The 23,230-nt window shown below is 39.6% G+C and overlaps 1 protein-coding gene and 2 long non-coding RNA genes across 10 annotated transcripts in view, besides 3 other annotated features; 2 read left to right on the forward strand and 1 right to left on the reverse strand.

Annotated features, from left to right (window-relative positions):
• LOC124901334 (uncharacterized) overlaps window positions 1-245 on the forward strand; it is a 47,524-nt gene extending 47,279 nt beyond the window's left edge. The window contains exon 3 of the long non-coding RNA XR_007059620.1: window positions 159-245. This is a non-coding gene — a long non-coding RNA (uncharacterized LOC124901334). The remainder of the gene's footprint in view (window positions 1-158) is intronic.
• Window positions 1-19,821, reverse strand: part of LOC124901333 (uncharacterized) — a 54,194-nt gene extending 34,373 nt beyond the window's left edge. For 3 of the 5 annotated variants that reach the window (XR_007059619.1, XR_007059616.1, XR_007059617.1), the window contains exons 1-2: window positions 19,687-19,821; window positions 19,429-19,495 (exon numbers count right to left, since the gene is read on the reverse strand). This is a non-coding gene — a long non-coding RNA (uncharacterized LOC124901333). Of the gene's footprint in view, window positions 1-19,428 lie in introns of all 5 variants that reach the window. The other 2 variants (XR_007059618.1, XR_007059615.1) reach the window with 1 other exon arrangement.
• Window positions 19,842-19,971: a silencer, noted in NCBI's record as "silent region_17293". NCBI's record gives its function as "represses an Ori minimal core promoter by ATAC-STARR-seq in GM12878 lymphoblastoid cells {active_cell/tissue: GM12878}" and the evidence as "EXISTENCE:reporter gene assay evidence [ECO:0000049][PMID:35858748]".
• Window positions 21,017-21,256: a silencer, noted in NCBI's record as "silent region_17294". NCBI's record gives its function as "represses an Ori minimal core promoter by ATAC-STARR-seq in GM12878 lymphoblastoid cells {active_cell/tissue: GM12878}" and the evidence as "EXISTENCE:reporter gene assay evidence [ECO:0000049][PMID:35858748]".
• LRRC1 (leucine rich repeat containing 1) overlaps window positions 21,151-23,230 on the forward strand; it is a 129,121-nt gene continuing 127,041 nt past the window's right edge. For all 4 annotated transcript variants that reach the window (XR_007059279.1, XR_001743505.2, NM_018214.5 and 1 more), the window contains exon 1: window positions 21,151-21,561. Coding sequence is in view for 2 of the 4 variants with exons in the window: in NM_018214.5 (NP_060684.4) it covers window positions 21,403-21,561 (159 nt within the window). In the remaining 2 variants the exon portion in view is untranslated. The remainder of the gene's footprint in view (window positions 21,562-23,230) is intronic.
• Window positions 21,223-21,935: an enhancer, noted in NCBI's record as "NANOG-H3K27ac-H3K4me1 hESC enhancer chr6:53659875-53660587 (GRCh37/hg19 assembly coordinates)". NCBI's record gives its function as "activates a minimal SCP1, AML or CMV promoter by ChIP-STARR-seq in naive H9 embryonic stem cells {active_cell/tissue: H9 hESC(naive)}" and the evidence as "EXISTENCE:reporter gene assay evidence [ECO:0000049][PMID:30033119]".

A 23,230-nucleotide genomic window follows, 5' to 3' on the forward strand; every position in this document is an offset into this window, starting at 1 on the left:
TTTTGCATCATTCTTTCTCAGTAGAAAGAAATAAGGAGCCAGATGAATATACATAAAAAGGAAGATAAGGGACTATGGACAGATGAATATATATTCTGAGGTAAATGAATTTGACTTTGTACTTTTAATGTAATTTTCCCCCAATTCTTGTGATACAGCATGTCTCAGAAAGATTAAAACTGGTATCAGATGGCCGAATAGGAACAGCTCCAGTCTACAGCTCCCAGCGTGAGCGACGCAGAAGACGGGTGATTTCTGCATTTCCAACTGAGGTACCAGGTTCATCTCAATGGGGAGTGTTGGAAAGTGGGTGCAGGACAGTGGGTGCAGTGCACCAAACGTGAGCCGAAGCAGGGCGAGGCATTGCCTCACCCGGGTAGCGCAAGGGGTCAGGGAATTCCCTTTCCTAGTCAAAGAAAGTGGTGACTGATGGCACCTGGTAAATTGGGTCACTCCCACCTTAATACTGCACTTTTCCAACAGTCTTAGCAAACTGCACACCAGGAGATTATATCCCGCACATGGCTCGGAGGGTCCTACACCCAAGGAGCCTCGCTCATTGCTAGCACAGCAGTCTGAGATCAAACTGCAAGGCGGCAGCACAGCTTGGGGAGGGGCGCCTGCCATTGCCAAGGCTTGAGTAGGTAAACGAAGCAGCCGGGAAGCTCGAACTGGGTGGAGCCCACCACAGCTCAAGGAGGCCTGCCTGCCTCTGCAGACTCCACCTCTGGGGGCAGGGCATAGCCAAACAAAAGGCAGCAGAATCCTCTGCAGACTTAAATGTCCCTGTCTGACAGCTTTGAAGAGAGTAGTGGTTCTCCCAGCACGCAGCTGGAGATCTGAGAACGGACAGACTGCCTCCTCAAGTGGGTACCTGACCCCCGAGTAGCCTAACTGGGAGGCACTCCCCAGTGGGGGCAGACTGACACCTCACATGGCCAGGTACTCCTCTGAGACAAAACTTCCACAGGAACGATCAGGCAGCAACATTTGCTGTTCACCAATATCTGCTGTTCTGCAGCCTCCACTGCTGATACCCAGGCAAACAGGGTCTGGAGTAGACTTCCAGCAAACTCCAACAGACCTGCAGCTGAGGGTCCTGACTGTTAGAAGGAAAACTCACAAACAGAAAGGACATCCACACCAAAACCTCATCTGCACGTCACCATCATCAAAGACCAAAGGTAGATAAAACCACAAAGATGGGGAAAAAACAGAGCAGAAAAACTGGAAACTCTAAAAATCAGAGTGCCTCTCCTCCTCCAAAGGAATGCAGCTCCTCACCAGCAATGGAACAAAACTGGACGGAGAATGACTTTGACTAGTTGAGAGAAGAAGGCTTCAGATGATCAAACTACTCCAAGCTAAAGGAGGAAGTTCAAACCCATGGCAAAGAAGTTAAAAACCTTGAAAAAAAATTAGACAAATGGCTAATGAGAATAACCAATGCAGAGAAGTCCTTAAAGGACCTGATGGAGCTGAAAACCAAGGCACGAGAACTACGTGACAAGTGCACAAGGCTCAGTAGCTGATTCGATCAACTGGAAGAAAGGGTATCAGTGATGGAAGATGAAATGAATGAAATGAAGCGAGAAGAGAAGTTTAGAGAAAAAAGAATAAAAAGAAATGAAAAAAGCCTCCAAGAAATATGGAACTATGTGAAAAGACCAAATCTACATCTGATTGGTGTACCTGAAAGTGAAAGGGAGAATGAAACCAAGTTGGAAAACACTCTGCAGGATATTATCCAGGAGAACTTCCCCAATCTAGCAAGGCAGGCCAACATTCAAATTCAGAAAATACAGAGAACACCACAGAGATACTCCTCGAGAAGAGCAACTCCAAGACACATAATTGTCAGATTCACCAAAGTTGAAATGAAGGAAAAAATGTTAAGGGCAGCCAGAGAGAAAGGTCGGGTTACCCTCAAAGGGAAGCCCATCAGACTAACAGCTGGTCTCTCGGCAGAAACTCTACAAGCCAGAAGAGAGTGGGGGCCAATATTCAACATTCTTAAAGAAAAGAATTTTCAACCCAGAATTTCATATCCAGTCAAGCTAAGCTTCATAAATGAAGGTGAAATAAAATCCTTCACAGACAAGCAAATGCTGAGAGATTTTGTCACCACCAGGCCTGCCCTAAAAGAGCTCCTGAAGGAAGCACTAAACATGGAAAGGAACAACCGGTACCAGCCACTGCAAAAACATGCCAAATTGTAAAGACCATGGAGGCTAGGAAGAAACTGCATCAACTAATGGGAAAAATAAGCAGCTAACATCATAATGACAGGATCAAATTCCACATAACAATATTAACTTTAAATGTAAATGGGCTAAATGCTCCAATTAAAAGACACAGACTGGCAAATTGGATAAAGAGTCAAGACCCATCAGTGTGCTGTATTCAGGAAACCCATCTCACGTGCAGAGACACACATAGGCTCAAAATAAAGGGATGGAGGAAGATCTACCAAGCAAATGGAAAACAAAAAGAAGCAGGTGTTGCAATCCTAGTCTCTGATAAAACAGACTTTAAACCAACAAAGATCAAAAGAGACAAAGAAGGCCATTACATAATGGTAAACGGATCAATTCAACAAGAAGAGCTAACTATCCTAAATATATATGCACCCAATACAGGAGCACCCAGATTCATAAAGCAAGTCCTTAGAGACCTACAAGGAGACTTAGACTCCCACACAATAATAATGGGAGACTTTAACGCCCCCACTGTCAACATGAAACAGATCAATGAGACAGAAAGTTAACAAGGATATCCAGGAATTGAACTCAGCTCTGCACCAAGCAGACCTAATAGACATCTACAGAACTCTCCACCCCAAATCAACAGAATATACATTCTTCTCAGCACCACACCGCACTTATTCCAAAACTGACCACATAGTTGGAGGTAAAGCACTCCTCAGCAAATGTAAAAGAACAGAAATTATAACCAACTATCTCTCAGACCACAGTGCAATCAAACTAGAACTCAGGATTAAGAATCTCACTCAAAACTGCTCAACTATATGGAAACTGAACAACCTGCTCCTGAATGACTACTGGTTACATAACAAAATGAAGGCAGAAATAAATATGTTCTTTGAAACCAACAAGAACAAAGACAAAACATACAAGAAACTCTGGGACACATTCAAAGCAGTGTGTAGAGGGAAATGTATAGCACTAAATGCCCACAAGAGAAAGCAGGAAAGATCTAAAATTAACACCCTAACATCACAATTAAAAGAACTAGAGAAGCAAGAGCAAACACATTCAAAAGCTAGCAGAAGGCAAGAAATAACTAAGATCAGAGCAGAACTGAAGGAAATAGAGACACAAAAAACCTTTCAAAAAATCAATGAATCCAGGAGCTGGTTTTTTGAAAAGATCAACAAAATTGATAGACCACTAGCAAGACTAATGAAGAAAAGGGAGAAGAATCAAATAGACGCAATAAATAATGATAAAAGGGATATCACCACCGATCCCACAGAAATACAAACTACCATCAGACAATACTATAAACACCTCTATGCAAATAAACTAGAAAATCTAGAAGAAATGGATAAATTCCTTGACACATACACCCTCCCAAGACTAAACCAGGAAGAAGTTGAATCTCTGAATAGACCAATAACAGGCTCTGAAATTGAGGCAATAATCAATAGCTTACCAACCAAAAAAAGTCCAGGACCAGATGGATTCACAGCAGAATTCTACCAGAGGTACAAGGAGGAGCTGGTACCATTCCTTCTGAAACTATTCCAATCAATAGAAAAAGAGGGAATCCTCCCTAACTCATTTTATGAGGCCAGCATCATCCTGATACCAAAGCCTGGCAGAGACACAACAAAAAAAGAGAATTTTAGACCAATATCCCTGATGAACATTGATGCAAAAATCCTCAATAAAATACTGGCAAATCGAATCCAGCAGCACATCAAAAAGCTTATCCACCATGATCAAGTGGGCTTCATCCCTGGGATGCAAGGCTGGTTCAACATATGCAAATCAATAAACATAATCCAGCATATAAACAGAACCAATGACAAAAACCACGATTATCTCAATAGATGCAGAAAAGGCCTCTGACAAAATTCAACAGCGCTTCATGCTAAAACCTCTCAATAAATTAGGTATTGATGGGACGTATCTCAAAATAATAAGAGCTATCTATGAGAAACCCACAGCCAATATCATTCTGAATGGGCAAAAACTGGAAGCATTCCCTTTGAAAACTTGCACAAGACAGGGATGCCCTCTCTCACCACTCCTATTCAACACAGTGTTAGAAGTTCTGGCCAGGGCAATCAGGCAGGAGAAGGAAATAAAGGGTATTCAATTAGGAAAAGAGGAAGTCAAATTGTCCCTGTTTGCAGATGACATGATTGTATATTTAGAAAACCCCATCATCGCAGCCCAAAATCTCCTTAAGCTGATAGGCAACTTCAGCAAAGTCTGAGGATACAAAATCAATGTGCAAAAATCACAAGCATTCTTATACACCAATAACAGACAAACAGAGAGCCAAATCATGACTGAACTCCCATTCACAATTGCTTCAAAGAGAATAAAATACCTAGGAATCCAACTTACAAGGGATGTGAAGGACCTTTTCAAGGAGAACTACAAACCACTGCTCAATGAAATTAAAGAGGATACAAACAAATGGAAGAACATTCCATGCTCATGGGTAGGAAGAATCAATATCGTGAAAATGGCCATACTGACCAAGGTAATTTATAGATTCAAGCTACCAATGACTTTCTTCACAGAATTGGAAAAAACTACTTTAAAGTTCATATGGAACCAGAAAAGAGCCCGCATTGCCAAGTCAATCCTAAGCCAAAAGAACAAAGCTGGAGGCATCACGCTACCTGACTTCGGACTATACTACAAGGCTACAGCATGGTACTGTACCAACACAGCATGGTACTGGTACCAAAACAGAGATACAGACCAATGGAACAGAAAAGAGCCCTCAGAAATAATGCCGCATATCTACAACTATCTGATCTTTGACAAACCTGACGAAAACAAGAACTGGGGAAACAATTCCCTATTTAATAAATGGTGCTGGGAAAACTGGCTAGCCATATGTAGAAAGCTGAAACTGGATCTCTTCCTTACACCTTATTCAAAAATTAATTCAAAATGGATTAAAGACTTAAATGTTAGACCTAAAACCATAAAAACCCTAGAAGAAAACCTAGGCAATACCATTCAGGACATAGGCCTGGGCAAGGACTTCATGACTAAAACACCAAAAGCAATGGCAACAAAAGCCAAAATTGACAAATGGGATCTAATTAAACTAAAGAGCTTCTGCACAGCAAAAGAAACTACCATTAGAGCGAACAGGCAACCTACAGAATGGGAGAAAACTTTTGCAATCTACTCATCTGACAAAGGGCTAATATCCAGAATCTACAATGAACTCAAACAAATGTATAAGAAAAAAACAAACAACCCCATCAAAAAGTGGGCAAAGGATATGAACAGACACTTCTCAAAACAAGACATTTATGCAGCCAACAGACACATGAAAAAATGCTCATCATCACTGGCCATCAGAGAAATGCAAATCAAAACCACAATGAGATACCATCTCACACCAGTTAGAATGGCGATCATTAAAAAGTCAGGACACAACAGGTGCTGGAGAGTATGTGGAGAAATAGGAACACTTTTACACTGTTGGTGGGACTGTAAACTAGTTCAACCATTGTGGAAGTCAGTGTGGCCATTCCTCAGGGATCTAGAACTAGAAATACCATTTGACCCAGCCATCCCATTACTGGGTATATACCCAAAGGATTATAAATCATGCTGCTATAAAGGCACATGCACACATATGTTTACTGTGGCACTATTCACAATAGCAAAGACTTGGAACCAACACAAATGTCCAACAATGATAGACTGGATTAAGAAAATGTGGCACATATATACCATGGAATACTATGCAGCCATAAAAAAGGATGAGTTCATGTCCTTTATAGGGAGATGGATGAAGCTGGAAACCACTATTCTCAGCAAACTATCCCAAGGACAGGAAACCAAACACTGCATGTTCTCACTCATAGGTGGGAACTGAACAATGAGAACACATGGACACAGGAAGGGGAACATCACACACCAGGGCCTGTTGTGGGGTGGGGGGAGGGAGGAGGGATAGCATTTGGAGATACACCTAATGTTAAATGACGAGTTGCTGGCTGCAGCACACCAACATGGCACATGTATACATATGTAACTAACCTGCACGTTGTGCACATGTACCCTGAAACTTAAAGTATAATTAAAAAAAAAAAAAACTGGTATCAGTTCACATAGTGATTGGCTTAGGACTTGCAAAGAGTAGTGTCTTCACAGGTATTGGTTGACTATTCTTTTTTTTGAGACAGAGTCTTGCTCCCTTGCCCAGGCTGGAGTACAGTGGCATGACTTTGGCTCACCGCAACCTCCATCTGCTGGGTTCAAGCAATTTTCCTGCTTCAGCCTCCCCAGTAGCTGGGACTACATGCGTGCACCACCACACCCAGCTAATTTTTGTGTTTTTAGTAGACATGGGGTTTCTCCATGTTGACCATGCTAGTCTTGAACTCATGACCTCAAGTGATCTGCCTGCCTTGCTCTCCCAAAGTGCTGGGATTACAGATGTGAGCCACTGCGCCCAGCCTGGTTGAACTATTCTCAGACAATATGATGTCATATTCATGTGTAACATGTCATTAGTGCAGATGATAACTGAAGAAACTACATGAAGTCTACACTACTGAATTCACCTAGAACAAAGGCCAATGTATCCCACCAAACCTACATCCTAAGATCCACTCATACAAGTAAGTCTTTCCCTATGAAACCTACTCCGTAAAATTAGAAGAAATGACTTTTTCACCAGATGCTTAGAAATCAACATAGGAACACATCAAACATGAAAAGTCAAGGACACATTACTCCTCCAAAGAAAAACAGTAATTTTACACTAACAATAATAAGCAAATACATGAAAGGCCAGAAAAAGAATTTTTACAAAATCTTTAGGAATTTCAGTGAGATACAAGCAAATATAAAGACAATTTAATGAAATGAGGAAAATAATTCATGATTTGAATGAGATATTCAACAGAGATCAATATCATAAAAAAGAACAAAACAAAAATCCTAGAGCTGAAGAATTCAGTGAAGGAAATAAAAAAATACAACTAAGAGGGTCAACAACAGATTAGACCAGAAGAAAGAATTTCTGAACTTGAAAATGGGTCTTCTGAAATAATAAAGGAAGGCCAAAAAAAAAAAAAAAAAAAAAAAAGTGAAGAAAGCCTACAGAACTTATTGGATACCAGTAAGTGAACAAATTTTGTTGGTATTATGGGTGTTCCAGAAGGAGAAAACATGGAAAAAGGTGAGGAAAACATATTTCGTGAGACAATAACTGAAAACTTCCCAAGTCTTGGGAGAAAGACAGACATTCAGGCCCAGGAAGCTTGATGAACCCCAAATGGATTAAACCTGAACATATCCTCTCTGAGGCAGATTATACTAAAATTGTCAAGAGTGAAAGACAAATAAAGAATTTTAAAGGCAACAAGATAAAAGTTTTAAGTCACATATATGAAAATCTCCATTAGATTTTTCAGCAGGAATTTTATAGGCCAAGAGAGAATGAGATGATATATTCAAAGTAGTGAAAGAAAAATACTTGGCAGCCACAAACGTTATACCCAGCAAAGCCATTCATCATAAAAGAAGAAAATAAAATCTTTCATAAACAAGCAAAAACTAATGGAAATCATCACCATTAGACCAATTTTTTAAGAAATACCCAAAGGAGTCTTACATCTGGAAATGAAAAAAACAATCACCACCACCATGAAAACATGAGAAACTATAAAACTCAATGGTAGAGCAGAGACACAAAGGAGAAAGGGAAGGAATAAAAACTCATCACTACAGAAAACTAACCAATAGTAAAAACAAACAGTAGGAAAGGAAGTAAGGAACAAAGGATATACAAAAAAACCCTAGAAAACAATCAATAAAATGACAACATTAAGTCGTCACCTATCAGTAATAACCTTGAATATAAATGGATTAAATTCCTCATTTAAAAGATATAGACTGGCTGAATAATAATAATAAAATAAGACCCAACTATATTCTGCCTAAAAGAAACTCACCTCATCTTTAAGGACAATCACACTGAAAGTGAAGGGCTCAAATAAAAAGTATTTCATAAAAACAGAAACTAAAAGCAAGCAGGAGTAGCTATACTTAGACAAAATAGACTTCAAGTCAAAAGCTGTACAAAGAGACAAGAGAGACATTACATAATAATAAAGGGATCAATTCAGCAAGAGAATATAATAATTGTAAATGTATATGTGCCCCAAACTGGAGCACTCAGATATATAGAGTAAATATTATTAGATCTAAAAGGAGAGATAGACTCCAATACAATAACAGTTGAGAACTTCAACACCCCACTCTCAACATTGGATTGATCATCTAGACAGAAAATGAAGAAAGAAATATTAGATATAAACTGCACCATAGATCAAATGGACCTAATAGATATTTTACTAAACATAGAACATTTTACTCAACAGCTGGTAAATACAAATCTTTTTCATCAGCACGTGGAACATTCTTCAGGACTGACTATGTATTAGAACACAAAACAAATCTCAACAAATTTTTAAAAATTGAAAACATATCTACTATCTTCTCAGACCACAATGGAGTAAAACTAGAAATCAATAACAAGATAAACATTCAAAACTATACAAATACATGGAAATTAAATAACAGGCTCCTGAGTGACCAATGGATAGAGAAATTTAAATATTCCTTGAAGTAAATAAAAATAAAAACACAATATACCAAAACTAGAGGACATGGCAAAAGCAGTATTAAGGGGCAAGTTTATAGCAATAAATGTCTACATCAAAAAACTACAAAGATCTCAAATAAACGACCTAAAGATACATCTCAAAGAACTAGAAAAGAAAGAAGAAACTAAACCCCAAATTAGTAGAAGAAAAGAAATCAGAGAAGGAAATATCAGAGCAGAAATTAATAAAATTGAGACTAAGAAAAAAAGTACAAAAATCACTGAAACAAAAAGTTGCGTTTTTTTTTGGAGAAGATAACCAAAAGCAACAAACTATTAGCTAGAGTAAGAAAAAAGAGAGATGATCCAAATAAATAAAATAAATTAAAAGGAGATGTCACAACAGATACCACAGAAATACAAAGAGTTATTAGAGACTACTATGAACAAATACATGACAATAAATTAAAAAAACCAAAAGAAAATAGATAATTTCCTGGACATAAACAATCTACCAAAATTCAACCAAGAAAAAACAGAAAACTCAAACAGGCTAACAACAAGTAACAAGATTGAGTCAGTAACAGAAAATCTCCCAATAAATAAATGTCAAAGACTGGATGGCTTCACTGCTGAATTCTCCTGAATCTTTAAAGAATTAGTATCAATTCTTGTCGAACTATTTCACAAAATGAAGCAGAGAAAATTTTTCTTAACTTATTTTATGAGGCCAGCAAAACCCTGGTACCAAAAGCAGACAAGGACACAACAAAAAAAGGAAACTATAGGCCAGTATTCCTGATAAACACAGACACAAAAATCCTCAACAAAATACTAGTAAATCCAATCCAAGAACACATCAAAAAGATAATACACCATGGTCAAGTGTTATTTATCTCACGAATACAAGGATGGTTCAATATATGCAAATCATTAAATGTCATACATCTCATCAATAGAATGAAGGACTACTAAAAACCATATGATCATCTCAATAGATGCCGAGAAAGCACTTGATAAAATTCTACATCTGTTTATAATAAAAACTTTCAACCAACTAGGCACAGAAGGAACATACCTCAAAATAATAAAGGCCATATATGACAAACTCACAGCTAACATCATACTGAATAGGGAAAAGCTAAAAGATTTTTTTCCAAGAACTGGAAGAAGACAAGTATGTCCACTTTCACCACACTTATTCTACATAGTATTAGAAGTATTAGCCAGAACAATTAGTCAAGAGAAGGACATAAAAGGCATATAAATTGGAATAGCAGGAAATCAATTTGTTCTTGTTTGCAAATTCCATGATCTTATGTAGAGAAAAACCTAAAGACTCTATCAAAAAACAGAATAAAACAAATTCAGTAAAGTTGCAGGATATGAAATCAATATAAAAAAGCAGCATTTCCATACATGAACAATGAACTAGCTGAAAATAAAATCAAGAATGCAATCCCATTTGTAATAGCTACAAAAAATAAAATATCTAGGAATAAATGTAATCAAGGAGGTGAAAGACTTTTACAAAGAAACTGCAAAACACTGAAGAATGAAATAATGAAGATACAAACAAATGGAAAGACATCTCAAGCTCATGGATTATAAGAATTAATATTGTTACAATGACAATACTACCCAAAGTAAACTACAGATTCAATGCTATCCTTACCAAAATGCCCATGATATTCTTCACAGAAATACAAAAAGAAATCCTAAAATTTGTATGAAACCACAAAAGACTCCAAGTAGCCAAACCAATGCTGAGCAAAACAATGAAACAAATAAACAAGCAAGCCAGCCAGCCAAGTTAGAGGAATCACACTACCAGCCTTCAAAATATCTTACAAAGCGGTAGTAACCAAAACAGCATGATACTGGCATAAAAACAGACACACAGACCAATGAAACAGAATAGATAACTCAGAAATTAATTAATGTATCTATGGCTAACTCATTATTGATGAAGGTGCCAATAAGGCACATTGGGAAAAGGACAGTCTCTTCAATAAATGGTGCTGGAAAAACTGAATATCCATATGCAGAAGATTAAAACTAGATTCCTACATCTCAACCTATAAAAAGTCAACTCAAAATAGACAAAAGACCTAAAAGTAAGATCCAAAACAATAAAACTTCTAGAAGAAAACATAAGAGAAATGCTTCAGGACATTAGTTTAGGAAAAGATTTTATAAATAAGACCTTAATAGTTCAGGCACCAAAAGCAAAAACAAACAAATGGGATTATACTAAAGCACAAAGTGTCTGCACAGGCAAAAACAACAACAATCAACAGAATGAAAAGACAACATACATAATGGGAGAAAATATTTGCAAACCATTCATTTGACAAGGGGATAATATCCAGAATATACAAGGAACTCAAACATCTCAGCAGCAAAAAAAAAAAGTTTAAAATGGACAAATGATCTGAACAGACATTTCTCAAAAGACCTAGAAATGACTAACAAACCATGGTTAAAACTAACAAATATGATGTTAAAAAATGTTCAGCATCACTAGTCATCAGGAATATGCAAATCAAAACCACAATGAGGTATCATCTCACCCCAGTTAGGATGGCTATTATCAAAAAGACAAAAAATAACAAATGCTGGCAAGGATGTGGAGAAAAGGGAACTCTTATACACTGTTGGTGGGAATGTAAATTAGTGCAGCCACTATGGAGAACAGTATGGCGATTCCTCAGAAAACTACAAATTGGACTACCATATGATCCAGCAATCCCACTACTGGGCCTTTATCCAAAGGAAAGGAAATCAGTACGTTGAAAATACATCTGCATGTTTATTGCAGTAGCATTCACAATAGCTAACATAAGGAATCACCCTAGATGTCCAACAACAGATGAATGGATAGAGAAAATGTGGTATTTATATACACAATGGAATACTATTAGGCCATAAAAAGAATAAAATCCTGTCACAGCAACTCCCTCCCTCCCTCCCTCCCTTCCTTCTTTCCTTCCTTCCTTTTCTTCCTTTCTTTCTTGTCGCCCAGAGTGGAGTGCAGTGATGTGATCTCGGCTCACTGCAACCTCTGCCTCTCAGGTTCAAGCAATTCTCTTGCCTCAGCCTCCCAAGTAGCTGGGATTACAGGCACTTACCACCATGTATTTTTAGTAGAGATGGGGTTTCACCTTGTTGGCCAGGCTGGTCTCAAACACCTGACCTCAAGTGATCCACTCATCTCAGCCTCCCAAACTGCTGGGATTACAGGTGTGAGCAATAATATATAGTTTCAAATAGCTAGAAGGAGGATATTGAATGTTCCCAACACAAAGAAATGCTAAATATTTGAGATGATGCATATGCTAATTACCCTGATTTGATCACTATACGTGTATGGAAACACCACTTTATACTCCATAAATATGTACAATTATTGTATCAATTAAAAATTAAGTTTAATTTTTAAAAGGTGAATACAGTTAAACTTAGCTTTGTGCATTAGAAATGTACCCACAAAATTGTATGCAACTTAATTTTTTGGTAAATAAAATTGTTTCAGTTGCATTAAAATAATGATCCATTTAAACCTTTCAGTAAATCTTTTTGGTAAAGCAACAAATCTTAGGACAATAAGAATCATCTCTGCATTGAAATTGGCAATGAGATTAGGTATCTTTATGCTTGATTTTGCTTAAAGCAGGACACATCTGTAGAACTGCCTTCCTACAAATTAATTTGACTTGTCTCAATGATGGATTTATAACAGTATCAGATACTGATATTTCCACCCAAACTCTCTAACTTTTACCTCCTTTAAGGTGCTATAATTAATGAAATGTATTTGTTTATAAGCTTCTCACATATTAATAAAAACTTTACAACAAATTGATGCTCTTTGAAAACATTTCTCCCTTGTATTTTGTGGGAAGAAAACAGCAAATAAAGTAGATTTGTCAGTTGACCCAGTAATAGAAAATAGTATGAATAAATTAGAATTGCAGAGATATCTGATGGTTTCTGAAATAAATGATTGAATGAAACCTAAATATTATACTTTTAAAAATACATGTTGATCTGATCTTCATTGTTTTATTAGTAACATAAATAAACTATCATGGTATGCTTAAACAGTTAAATGTTTTTGTCAGCCTGAAAGTTAATAGTTTTCTTTCTTTCTTTCAAGACAGCATTATTAATAACATATTATTTCAAGTTGACTAGCCCTAAAAGGTATCTTATTCTCCAGTCAAGTTTGCATGAACTTTATGGATAGTGCTAACTTGACTGGAGAAATAGGAGATCTTTCAGGCTTATGTTAGTTAACTGATCAACATACTTTGATCACTAATGGTCTTTGAACTGTTTGAATGACAGTGCTCAGTGGAGTGGTTTCACTCATAGGTATAATTTTTACTAATTACAAAGTAGACCTTGGCCTTCAGTGAAAACAATGTCTATATTGATTTAATTTATATTGTAGGAACTGTAACAATAAAATAAGAGTAACATAAGAAGAGACACGGCTATATGATTTTCTTAAACCTTTTGTGGATGAAGGTGAAAAATAAATGAGGCATCTATGTTTACTTAAATGATTAAAAAGTACATTTTGATCAGATGAGGCAATGTATGCTAATGTACTCTTTTTAAACGATAAAGCATTACACAAATGTAAAGCATTGCCACAACCTGAGCCACCTCTAAGCTTCACCTTCCTGTTTTATCAAAGAAGGAGACCATGAGGCTGAGGCAGAGGCCTGGAAAAAGATGGATTCAGTGGCAGATACCTGGTTTTGATTTGGCTTCTTTGATATAGTCTCTTTCCTACTGAAATACTTTACCGTCTCATATCAACTGATATGATAATTTACATATTGTTTACCTAAACAATGTACTCACATGATAGGCTTTCTTTTGGCTGGTAACTGAGCAAAGAGTATTGACAATGAATAATGCCTAATGTGTTGTGTTCTGCAGTATGGAAAACTTTTTCCACTACATTAACCCATAATCCTCTCAAAAGCCATTTGAGGGTGGCATTTTTCATGCCTTTGTAGAAATAAAGAATATTGGAGTTAAATATGATTAACCCAAGATCTCATCCCTAGTAGTGGCAGATCCAAAAATTCAATGCAAAATCATGAGTTCTTTATACCACCCCACACTACAGGTAGTTTTGGCTCATTTCCACCAAGGCAAAATGCTGTTCAATATTTGACTCATCATGAGAACCTTTATAAGGAGATTGAGAAAAACAGAAAAGCAGAAAACTCAATTTGCTCATTTGTAACTCCTATGAATGGAGGGGTAGATTAAAATCTTAGTAATAAGAAAATTTGGATTGTCCACATACTCTTACAATCTGTGAAGCTATATAAACAAATGATTACAATTTATAAAAAACAACTGAATGGTTACTACATGACCAACTTTCCCACAGATAACAATTACAGTGCTGAACAAAATGCAAAAATCAACTATCTGAAGGTACTGCAGAATGGCCAAAACCAAGCAGCAACTGAAGGAAAATCTATACTAGGAAGAAGAGTGAATTTTCTGCTTTTATGACTTTGACAAGCATACACTAGAGTCTATCACATAGATCAGCTAAAACTCATGTTTAGAGCAATCTGGCTCAATGTATCATACATCAGAGTTGGGGTGACAAAGGCACCTTGAAAGTGAGAAGCGGGAAACCTCAGACAGGATTGAGTGAGAACAGAAGCTCCAGATTCTGCATATAAATCGTCCAAATATTTGACTGACCGCTAAATTATGCATGTGTAGTTCAGCTTTTAAGCAACCTAATTAAGAATAAAATAACTGAACACAAATTTCAGCTGCCATGTACCACAGAGAAAATAAGAGTTTTTTGTTTTATTTCATCCAAGCTAACAGGCTGCTAAAACAAAACAAAACAAAAACACTCTTTGGAGGAATATAACAGAATCCAGAGATTCTATTATTTACAATATCCAGGACATAATCCAAAATTACTAGGTATATGAGGAGACAGAAAAATGTGACCTATACTTAAAAGAAAATGCAATCAAGGCAGAATGACTCTAAGATGACCCAGGTTTCAGAATTTGCCTACAAAGAGTTTAAAGCAGCTATTATAACCTTAATCAAATATGTAAAGGAACATAAACTCTTAATAAATGAACACATAGGAAATCTCAGCAGATAAATGAAACTATATAGAAAAAGAACCAAATGGAAATTTCAGAACTAAAAAATACACCATCTGAAATTGCATTTCTGATGGGCTTAGCAGCAGTTTGAAGATGACAGAAGAACCAGTAAACTTGAAGCTGGAACAGTATATATTATCCAATGTGGAAAACAGAGAGAAAAATATCAGGGAAAAAAGAGGCAGAACCTCAAAAATATGTGGGACAATATCAAGAGGTCTAACATTTTAAAAATTGAAGTATTAAAAGGGAAGAAGAGAATGGGCAAAAAATATGTGAAGAAACAATGGCTGAAAATGTTCTAAATTTGGTGAAAGTTATAAATTTACAGATTCAGGAAGCTCAGTAAACCATAATCAAGATAAATACAGACATATACTAATTAAACTACTAAAAACCAAGAACAGAGAGAAAATCTTAAAAGCAGCCAGAGAAAATGGTATATTACATACAAATTAGGTCCAATTTGAGTTATTGCTGACTTCTCATAAGAAATTAGAAAATTGATTATTTTTAGAGTGCTGAGAAGAAAAAAAAAACCAGCAAACTTGTCAACCCAGAACTGTATACCTACTGAAAATATTTATAAAGAATTAAGGTACAATAAAGACATCTGCAGATAAATCTTTAACAAACTTCCAGGTGAAGAGACATGACATGAGACAGGAATGAAGAGCACTGGAAATAAACGTGTGAGTAAATATAAAAGACAATTTTTTCCTCTTATTTCTTTAAAATACTAAAGAATTTTAAAAGAAAATATGAAAAATTTTGTGTGGGGTTTATAACATATAAATGTAATCTGCATAAAAATTGTAACATAAAGCACCAGATAGTTGACAAACGGACCTAGATAATTGCAGGAATCATATGCAAGGGTTTATATGAATTGGTATATTTACTCTAACTGGACTGTGAAAATTTAAGGATGCATATTATATTCCCTAGAGCAATCACGATAGCTAGAAAGCCAATAGATAAAGTGAGATTATAAAATATATTTATTTACTTAAAAGATGTCAAAAAAGGAGGAACAGAGGAACAAAAATCAGATGGTACACATGGAAAACAAATAATAAAATAATAGATTTAAGTCCAAATCATCTGATAATTATATGAAATGTAAATGGACTAAACATTTCAACCAAAAAGCAAGGGATGGGGACAGAATTTCAACTTAAATAGTAATATGAATCAAAGAGATTTTAGGGTAATTACTTTGGTTCTGATCATAAACATTGCTGACTTCTAAACTAATGTATCCATGTAATTCTGCAGGCTCTCAGGTTTCTCAAATGGTTTGAGTGTAGCCTTCCCTTATAGCACAGATACATAATCTTCAGGAAATATCCATAAACTCAACCTTGGAGAATCATGAGTTGGGATCTGAGTGCTTCTTCTCTGAGAGAGGGCTTTGGGATTCATATACAAATTGACCTATCTTTCTATTATCCAGATTTGTATATCATTAAGATTTAATTTGCTATTTGACCTGTTATCTAAATACCTCAAATAATCTCTTACAGGACAAAAAGTCATCCTCTCTAGATCAAGAAAAAAAAAGCTGTATCACACTACAATAGTACTATGATTTATAAGTTCCTTGATAGCTGCCTTTCTTTCAGTAAGACTGAAAGCCCTGTCTTGTTCTTTTTTGTCTCTCCAGCAAATTAACCCAGTGCCTGGCATGTAGTGAACAAGTAAATATTTATTGAGCAACTAATACAACATGATCCCTAACCCTAGATGTAATTTGCAACTTGTTGGATACATTCACCTGTATACTTTTTAATTTTTAGAATTAATTTTAGTGATATATATATCTTATGTAATAGTTTCTTATTTTAACTATACAGTCTGATGAAAAAAGTATATACCCACATAACTACACCACAATCAAGATATATAATATTTCCATCGCCCACTTCCCCTACAAATTCTCTGTTTTTCATCATCAATCTTTATCACCACAATCCCTCCTACAACCCAACTAACAGGTTCTAGACCACTGATTTAGGTTGTGTCACTTTATATTAGTTTGCATTTTCCAGAATTTTATATACATGGGATCATATAGTATGTACTCATTTGTGTTTGCCTTGTACACAACATAGTTTTTGCGATTTATGCACATTGCTACATGTATTAGTAGCTTGCTCCTTTTAGTTGAATGCTAGTCCATTGTTTCACTATACTACACTGTATCCGTCTGTTGATGAATATTTGGATTGTTTCCAGTTTGGGGCTATTATTAACAAAACTGCTATGCACATTTGTAAACAATCCTTGCTTGGACATATGTTTTCACTTTTTCTTGTGCAGATACCTAGGAGTAGAATGGGTAGATCATTAAGGTAGGCATATGATTACAATAAACTGCCAAATTGTTTTACAAAGTGGTTTTACCATTTTACACTTCCACCAGCAGTGTATGAATTCCAGTTGTTCCATTTTTTTATTTGTTTGAGACAGTGTCCTATGCTGTTGTCCAGGCTGAGTGCAGTGCCCAGCTCACTGCGGCCTCAAACTAACTAGGAGGCTCAAGTGATCCTTCCACCTTAGCCTTCTGAGTAGCTGGGACTACAGGCATATGCCACTATGCCAGGCTAATTTTTTATTTTTTGTAGAGGTGGGTGTCTCCCTATGTTGCCCAGGCTGGTCTTGAACTCCTGGCCTCAAGCGATCCCTCCACCCCATTCCGCCTGGGCCTCCCTAAGTGTTGGAATCAGGTGTCAGCCACTCTGCCGGGCCAAGTTGCTCTATATCTTCAGTAACATTTGGGATTGTCTTTTTTTTTTTTTCTTTAATTTTAAGTCATTCTAGTGGTTAGGCGGTGGTATGTCACATTAAAATTCACATGCCCAAACCTCTGAATCCCCATTTACAAGAATCCCTATCTTACACGCTAACACTTTGGATTTTCACTTAAAAAAATTAATGATATCATGCTCAAAAAATTAATGATAAAGCAACAACAGACCACTAAGTATTTATCATTCTCCTAACTTCAGAGAGTAAGCTTCATGAGGCTAAGACCTATCTTGTTTTTCTTACATTTCTAGTATCTAGCACAATGCCTGGTGCATAGTATGTACCTTTATTAGTTATTTGTTGCTGTGTAATAAATTACTCCAAATCTTAGCAGCTTAAAGCAACAAACATTTACTGTCTCACATAATTTCTGAGGGGCAAGAGTGGGGAGCAGCTTAGCTGAGTGGTCCTGAGTCTGAGGCTATCATGAGGTTTTAGTCAAGCTATCAGCTGGTGCTGCAGTCACTTGAAGGCTTGACAAGGGCTGGAGAACTGGCTTCCAAGATGGCTCACTCACATGACTACTGCCAAGAATCGTCAGTCCCTTGCTAGTTGTTGTCAGCAGTCTGCAATTCTTTGGCATGTGGAGCTCTAGATTTGCTCAACATGGCAGCTGGCTTCCCCAAAGTGAGTGATTCGAGAAAGAAAAAGTTGGTTACATAGACCAACCAGGAGATGGTGGATGTTGTCCCTAACTTCCTGGAGGCTGGCTAATAAAGTGCATAATTAATATTTATTGATTAAAGTAATGTGTGTCTGATACTGTACTAAGCATTTTACATATGTCATTTCATTTAATCCAGATAACAATCCCATGAATCATCCTCATTTGAGATATGATAAAACTGAGGCTTATACAAGTTAAGTAAACTGTCAATTTCTACGAAGCTAGTGGCATAACAAGAGTTCAAACACAGATCTCTTTAGCTCAAAGGCTGTGAAAACATGGTTCACAGTACAAATGAATAAAAGAATTACATTATTCTAAGAATAAAGTGATTTAGGTGGTCTTTTTAAACTTTGTTTAAATTGAGTCAAACTCATTTGTATGTGGCGGAAGAAACTAGATGTTTTATCAGGCGGGAAACCCTAAAATTCTTCAGGTGAGTAAAAAGTTAATTGCTTCCCTATTCTGTAGTTGACAAGGTGTTGTTTCATTTTTTCTCTCTTACTACGCTGTTTCAAATTCTTGGCAGATTATTGGAAACAAGGAAAGTCAAGAATTCTCCCAGTGACTACCCATAGAATTAAATCAACAAAAACTGTTGATCATTGACTGTGCATATGGCACTGTGGCAGCTTCCCAGATCTACAAAGCAAGTGAGACAGTATCTGTTGTTTAAGAGGTCATAATCTCTTTCGGATTAAGGTGATACAAAAATAATAACACAGAGAAGCTGAAGCATCATGGAGAGGCACACAAGGAATGCTTATTGAGGTCTGAATTTTTAAAAGACTGGACACGTCTTTAAAATACATTTGGTGTTCGTTAAAATAATCTAGTGTGATAACCTCTGGAAATCACATTATTTTAAATGGAGGGAACTAGCCTTCTTTAATTTTTTTTTTAAAAAGCAGTTGGAAAACTTGAAGACAGGGACTTACTTACCTTTCCACATGTCTCTGTCAGGAACCAGTTTTCTAGGAAGGGTGGCAGAAATGAGCTTCATATGTTTCTGGAATGCAAGAATGTAGAAAGGGGGGTGGAGGTTCAAAGTCCAGGTAGCCCTCTGTGAGAACGCAGGAATCAAATCAGGACAAACAAAAGAAGGGTGAAGTGGGTAGGGCAACGGAGTTTCGGGATTGACTGGAATGAGAGTTAAGGTGATAATGCTGGGGTGGAAATGAAAGTCAGACCCCTCCTTACGGACTGGGAAGAAAGGAGCCCTCCTAGTAAAGTTGAAAAGACCAAGTGTCCTCTTCTCCATTTCACCGGGGAAACGCTCCTGTGCCTAGTCGTAAGGTACAGGAGAGTCTATGGAGCCCATGGAGAGTCTAATGCAAAAACTAGTTTCCGACCAAACTTTGCCTTGGCCACTGAGCATGCTCAGCTTTGTCTTCTATAGAAAAGTGAACTCCGTGGCTCCAGATTTTAGCTATAGCAGCTGGAGGGCGGGAGTGAGTGTGGGAGAGCCAGCGTGGCAGCGGCCGCAGGTGGAAACCTGGAGTTTGAGTATGCTTGAAAGGGAAAGTGTGGAACGAAGGGGCGGCCGGGTGGGGAATCAGAGAAGCCCCCAAGGAAATGATTCATCATTGTGATTGACCTTGACTTTAGCAACCCTTCATTAAAGGAGAAAATTTGGTTATTCGGAGATGGGGACTGTGTTGCAAACAGTTACAGGCAAAGAGGGGCAGTTCAGGATTCCGGCCGTGGTCCGCAGGAATGAGTCGGGGCGAGGGAATGGTTGTTATAACCCAATAGTGAGCCTCCCCGGTCATCCGGGCTGGACGGGACTGGGGTTGTAGCAGAAAAGCAGGAGCTGTATGGAGGATGCTCACCTGGCAGCCTCGATCTGCCCCTCTTCCCTCGCTCCTCCCTCCGCACCAGCCACAGCTAGTTGTCAGGGGCCAACATCTGGGCCGGGCTGGAACTGGCTCAGAAACTCGCGTTTGCCTGCTTATTTCTGCAGCTGGGCTCCTTGCCAGGTGCAACCACATCTATGAGAATCTCGCAGACTCTCAGACTCCTATGCCTTTGCTGGTACAGGGAGGAGGATTTACTATCACTCACTGCATAAACCATGATCACCAGAGATGTGCTCCCAAGTTACAAAGCCTGCAGGCGGTGCCCGAGGACCAGAGGGCCGGGCGCGGCCAGCTCACACTTCTGGGGCAGCCGTGAGCAGCGGGCACACGGGCAGCCACGAAAGCAGCAGCGAGGGTGGTGCAAACACCTCAAAACTACACCGAATCCAGTAGCGCCTGGCGCCCCCGGCGCGCAAGGTACGCTTTGGGGCGGTCCTGTGTGACCCCGGAAGAGAAAGTTGTTTTGGGGAAGGGGAGCAAGGAGAGGAGTGCGAGTTAAATAAAACTAAATATCAAAGTTGTTCTGCTCTGCTCAGGCCGCCTCTACTCCGCCTCATCTTTGTCCCAAGTCCTTTCACAGTCTGCCTTCCTCAAACGGCCCGATGCGCCCCCGTCTTTGCCGGAGTAAGCAGACCGCCAGCAGCCGGCCCGCAGGTCAGTCGACCCTCTCTGGATGCAGGTCGCCGGGAAAACCCGGAGCGGAGCATCCCTCGGGCCGGGAAACGCCCTCGGCGCGCACCCACTGGCGCGCATGCTCAGTCCGCGCGGCGGCTGCGAGTAGGAAGCTCCGCGCGGCGGCGGGGGCGGCGACGGCGACTGGCGGGTGGGAGTGGAGGCACCGGCTGGCGGGCGGGGGTACAGGGACGGGGCAGGGGCTCCCGCTCCAGGTTCCTTGAAGCACTTCCGACCGCGAAGCCCGGCGCGAGAAGCGAGCTAACCCAAGAGCCAACAACGAGCGCGGAGAGGGCAGCGGACTGAGCGGAGCCGCCGGCCAGAGCGGGCTCGGAGCCCGGGTCTCCGCCGCTCGGGACCCGGCTAGGCGGCGGCGGGGGCGGCGATGTTCCACTGCATCCCCCTGTGGCGGTGCAACCGTCATGTGGAGAGCATCGACAAGCGCCACTGCTCGCTGGTCTACGTCCCCGAGGAGATCTACCGCTATGCCCGGAGCCTGGAGGAGCTGCTGCTGGACGCCAACCAGCTCCGCGAGCTGCCCGAGGTAAGGGTCCGGCCTCACCTGAGCGCTCTGCCCGCTCGTCTGCTGTCCCTTCCGCTCCCATCCTCTCTCGTCCCCTCTTCCATCTCCGGGTCCGGCGTGAAGGAACCTTCCCTCTTTTATGCATTCACCTGCTTCTTTCTCCCCCTGTCTCTTTACTTCCATCCTTTCCCAGTAAAAGTTCCTTTTCATTTTATTCAAAGTGACCGGATATTTTGCGCGTAGTCACTGGGGCTCGTGCTATTGGAGAAGCGTTCTGGACTGTTAAGTAACTTAGATCCATGCTAGGTACTGACACCTGGCACTTGTGCCCGGTCAGGTGAGAAGCCGGGTGATTCGGGCTGTTTCCATCTGGAAGCTACAGAGCACTGCATCCTCCCCCCCTCCACTCCCCGGGGTCGTTCCCCCACCAAGGGCCGGGCGCGCCTCTCCTTTAGTCAAGGCATGTCCCGGAGGACCTTGTGACCTGGGCAGCGCTCAAGCGGGCCGCACTATCTCGGCATCTTGGGAGGAATGAGGAATGTGCTCCGTGCTTTATCGCGGGTGGGCTTGGCCGGCTGGCCTGCGGTGGCTGCGGGGGTGGACGCGAGATGGGCGCAGGGGAGAGCTGGGCCTGGAGCGCTAGGGGCAGGTGCCCAGATGCCGGCCGCCCGGGCCTTGCCTACGTGGACCTGTTGCGTGGTGGGAGCTGCGGTGAACGTCAGCGGAGGCTCTGCCCGCGGGCCAGCCTTGCAGCCGCCTTTCCCGGAGCGGGCACAGTCGTCCTGCTGACTTTCTCTCCTTGCAGTGATGCGTTATCTCTTCAGAGTTGTTTATGTAAATTGATCACTCCATTGCCGCCGAACTTGTCAAGCGACATGTGCTGATGGTGCTTTGACCGAGAGTAGGGGTACAGCGAACTTCTTTCAAGCTTGCCTCGGGAACTTAGCTAGAGTAACCCCTCGGGGAAGGTGTCTCAAACCCAGGTGTGTGCAGGAAGTCGGTGTGCAATAATCCAAAGGTGTGCAGGAAGTAGGGAGACTGCTGGCAGTCGGGGATTGGACCTGTTTTAGGCCTGAGCTTTGGAACGCAAACTTCTTGTTGCCCTTTAGTTAACACAAGCCAAATCATTGTCACAGAAACACTAGTCAAGTGTTCTGACTTGTTAGAATGACCTGATACGTTCTCCAGCGCTGATGGAGCATTTAAACAATAAGAACTGTGTGTTTTTCTCAATATTTTAAGTGGTGGTGTTCTTCTTGGATTAACTTTCCTGGGTTCATGTGGAATTGATTGGATGTTTGCTCTGTGTAATCATGGAGATTATCCTCACTAGGACCTTTGCAAAGCCCCCCAGGCTTTATTTAGCTTAGAAGCAGCAAAGCCATCAAGTTCCCTCAGGCGTTTATTATTTCGCAGGCATTTTCAAACACATGATTTTTTTCTGGCCTTTTACGTCCTTGAAGATTTCTTACCAGTCGTCAGCTCCCTCACTGCTTTAAGTTGTGTAATTTTAGGCAGTGATATCACCAGGAATATAGAATATGTAATTTAATAGTTTTCAGGGGCTTCAGGATGACATTATTGAAGATGGAGTGAAAAGTTATTCACTAGAAATGATTCATTGCTCTTTGTGGTATTTGTTTTTTTGTTTTCTTTTGTAGAACTGGAAGATTTCCTTTGACTGGATTGG

This window comes from Homo sapiens, chromosome 6 (genome assembly GCF_000001405.40).
Source record: "Homo sapiens chromosome 6, GRCh38.p14 Primary Assembly".
NCBI lineage: Eukaryota > Metazoa > Chordata > Mammalia > Primates > Hominidae > Homo > Homo sapiens.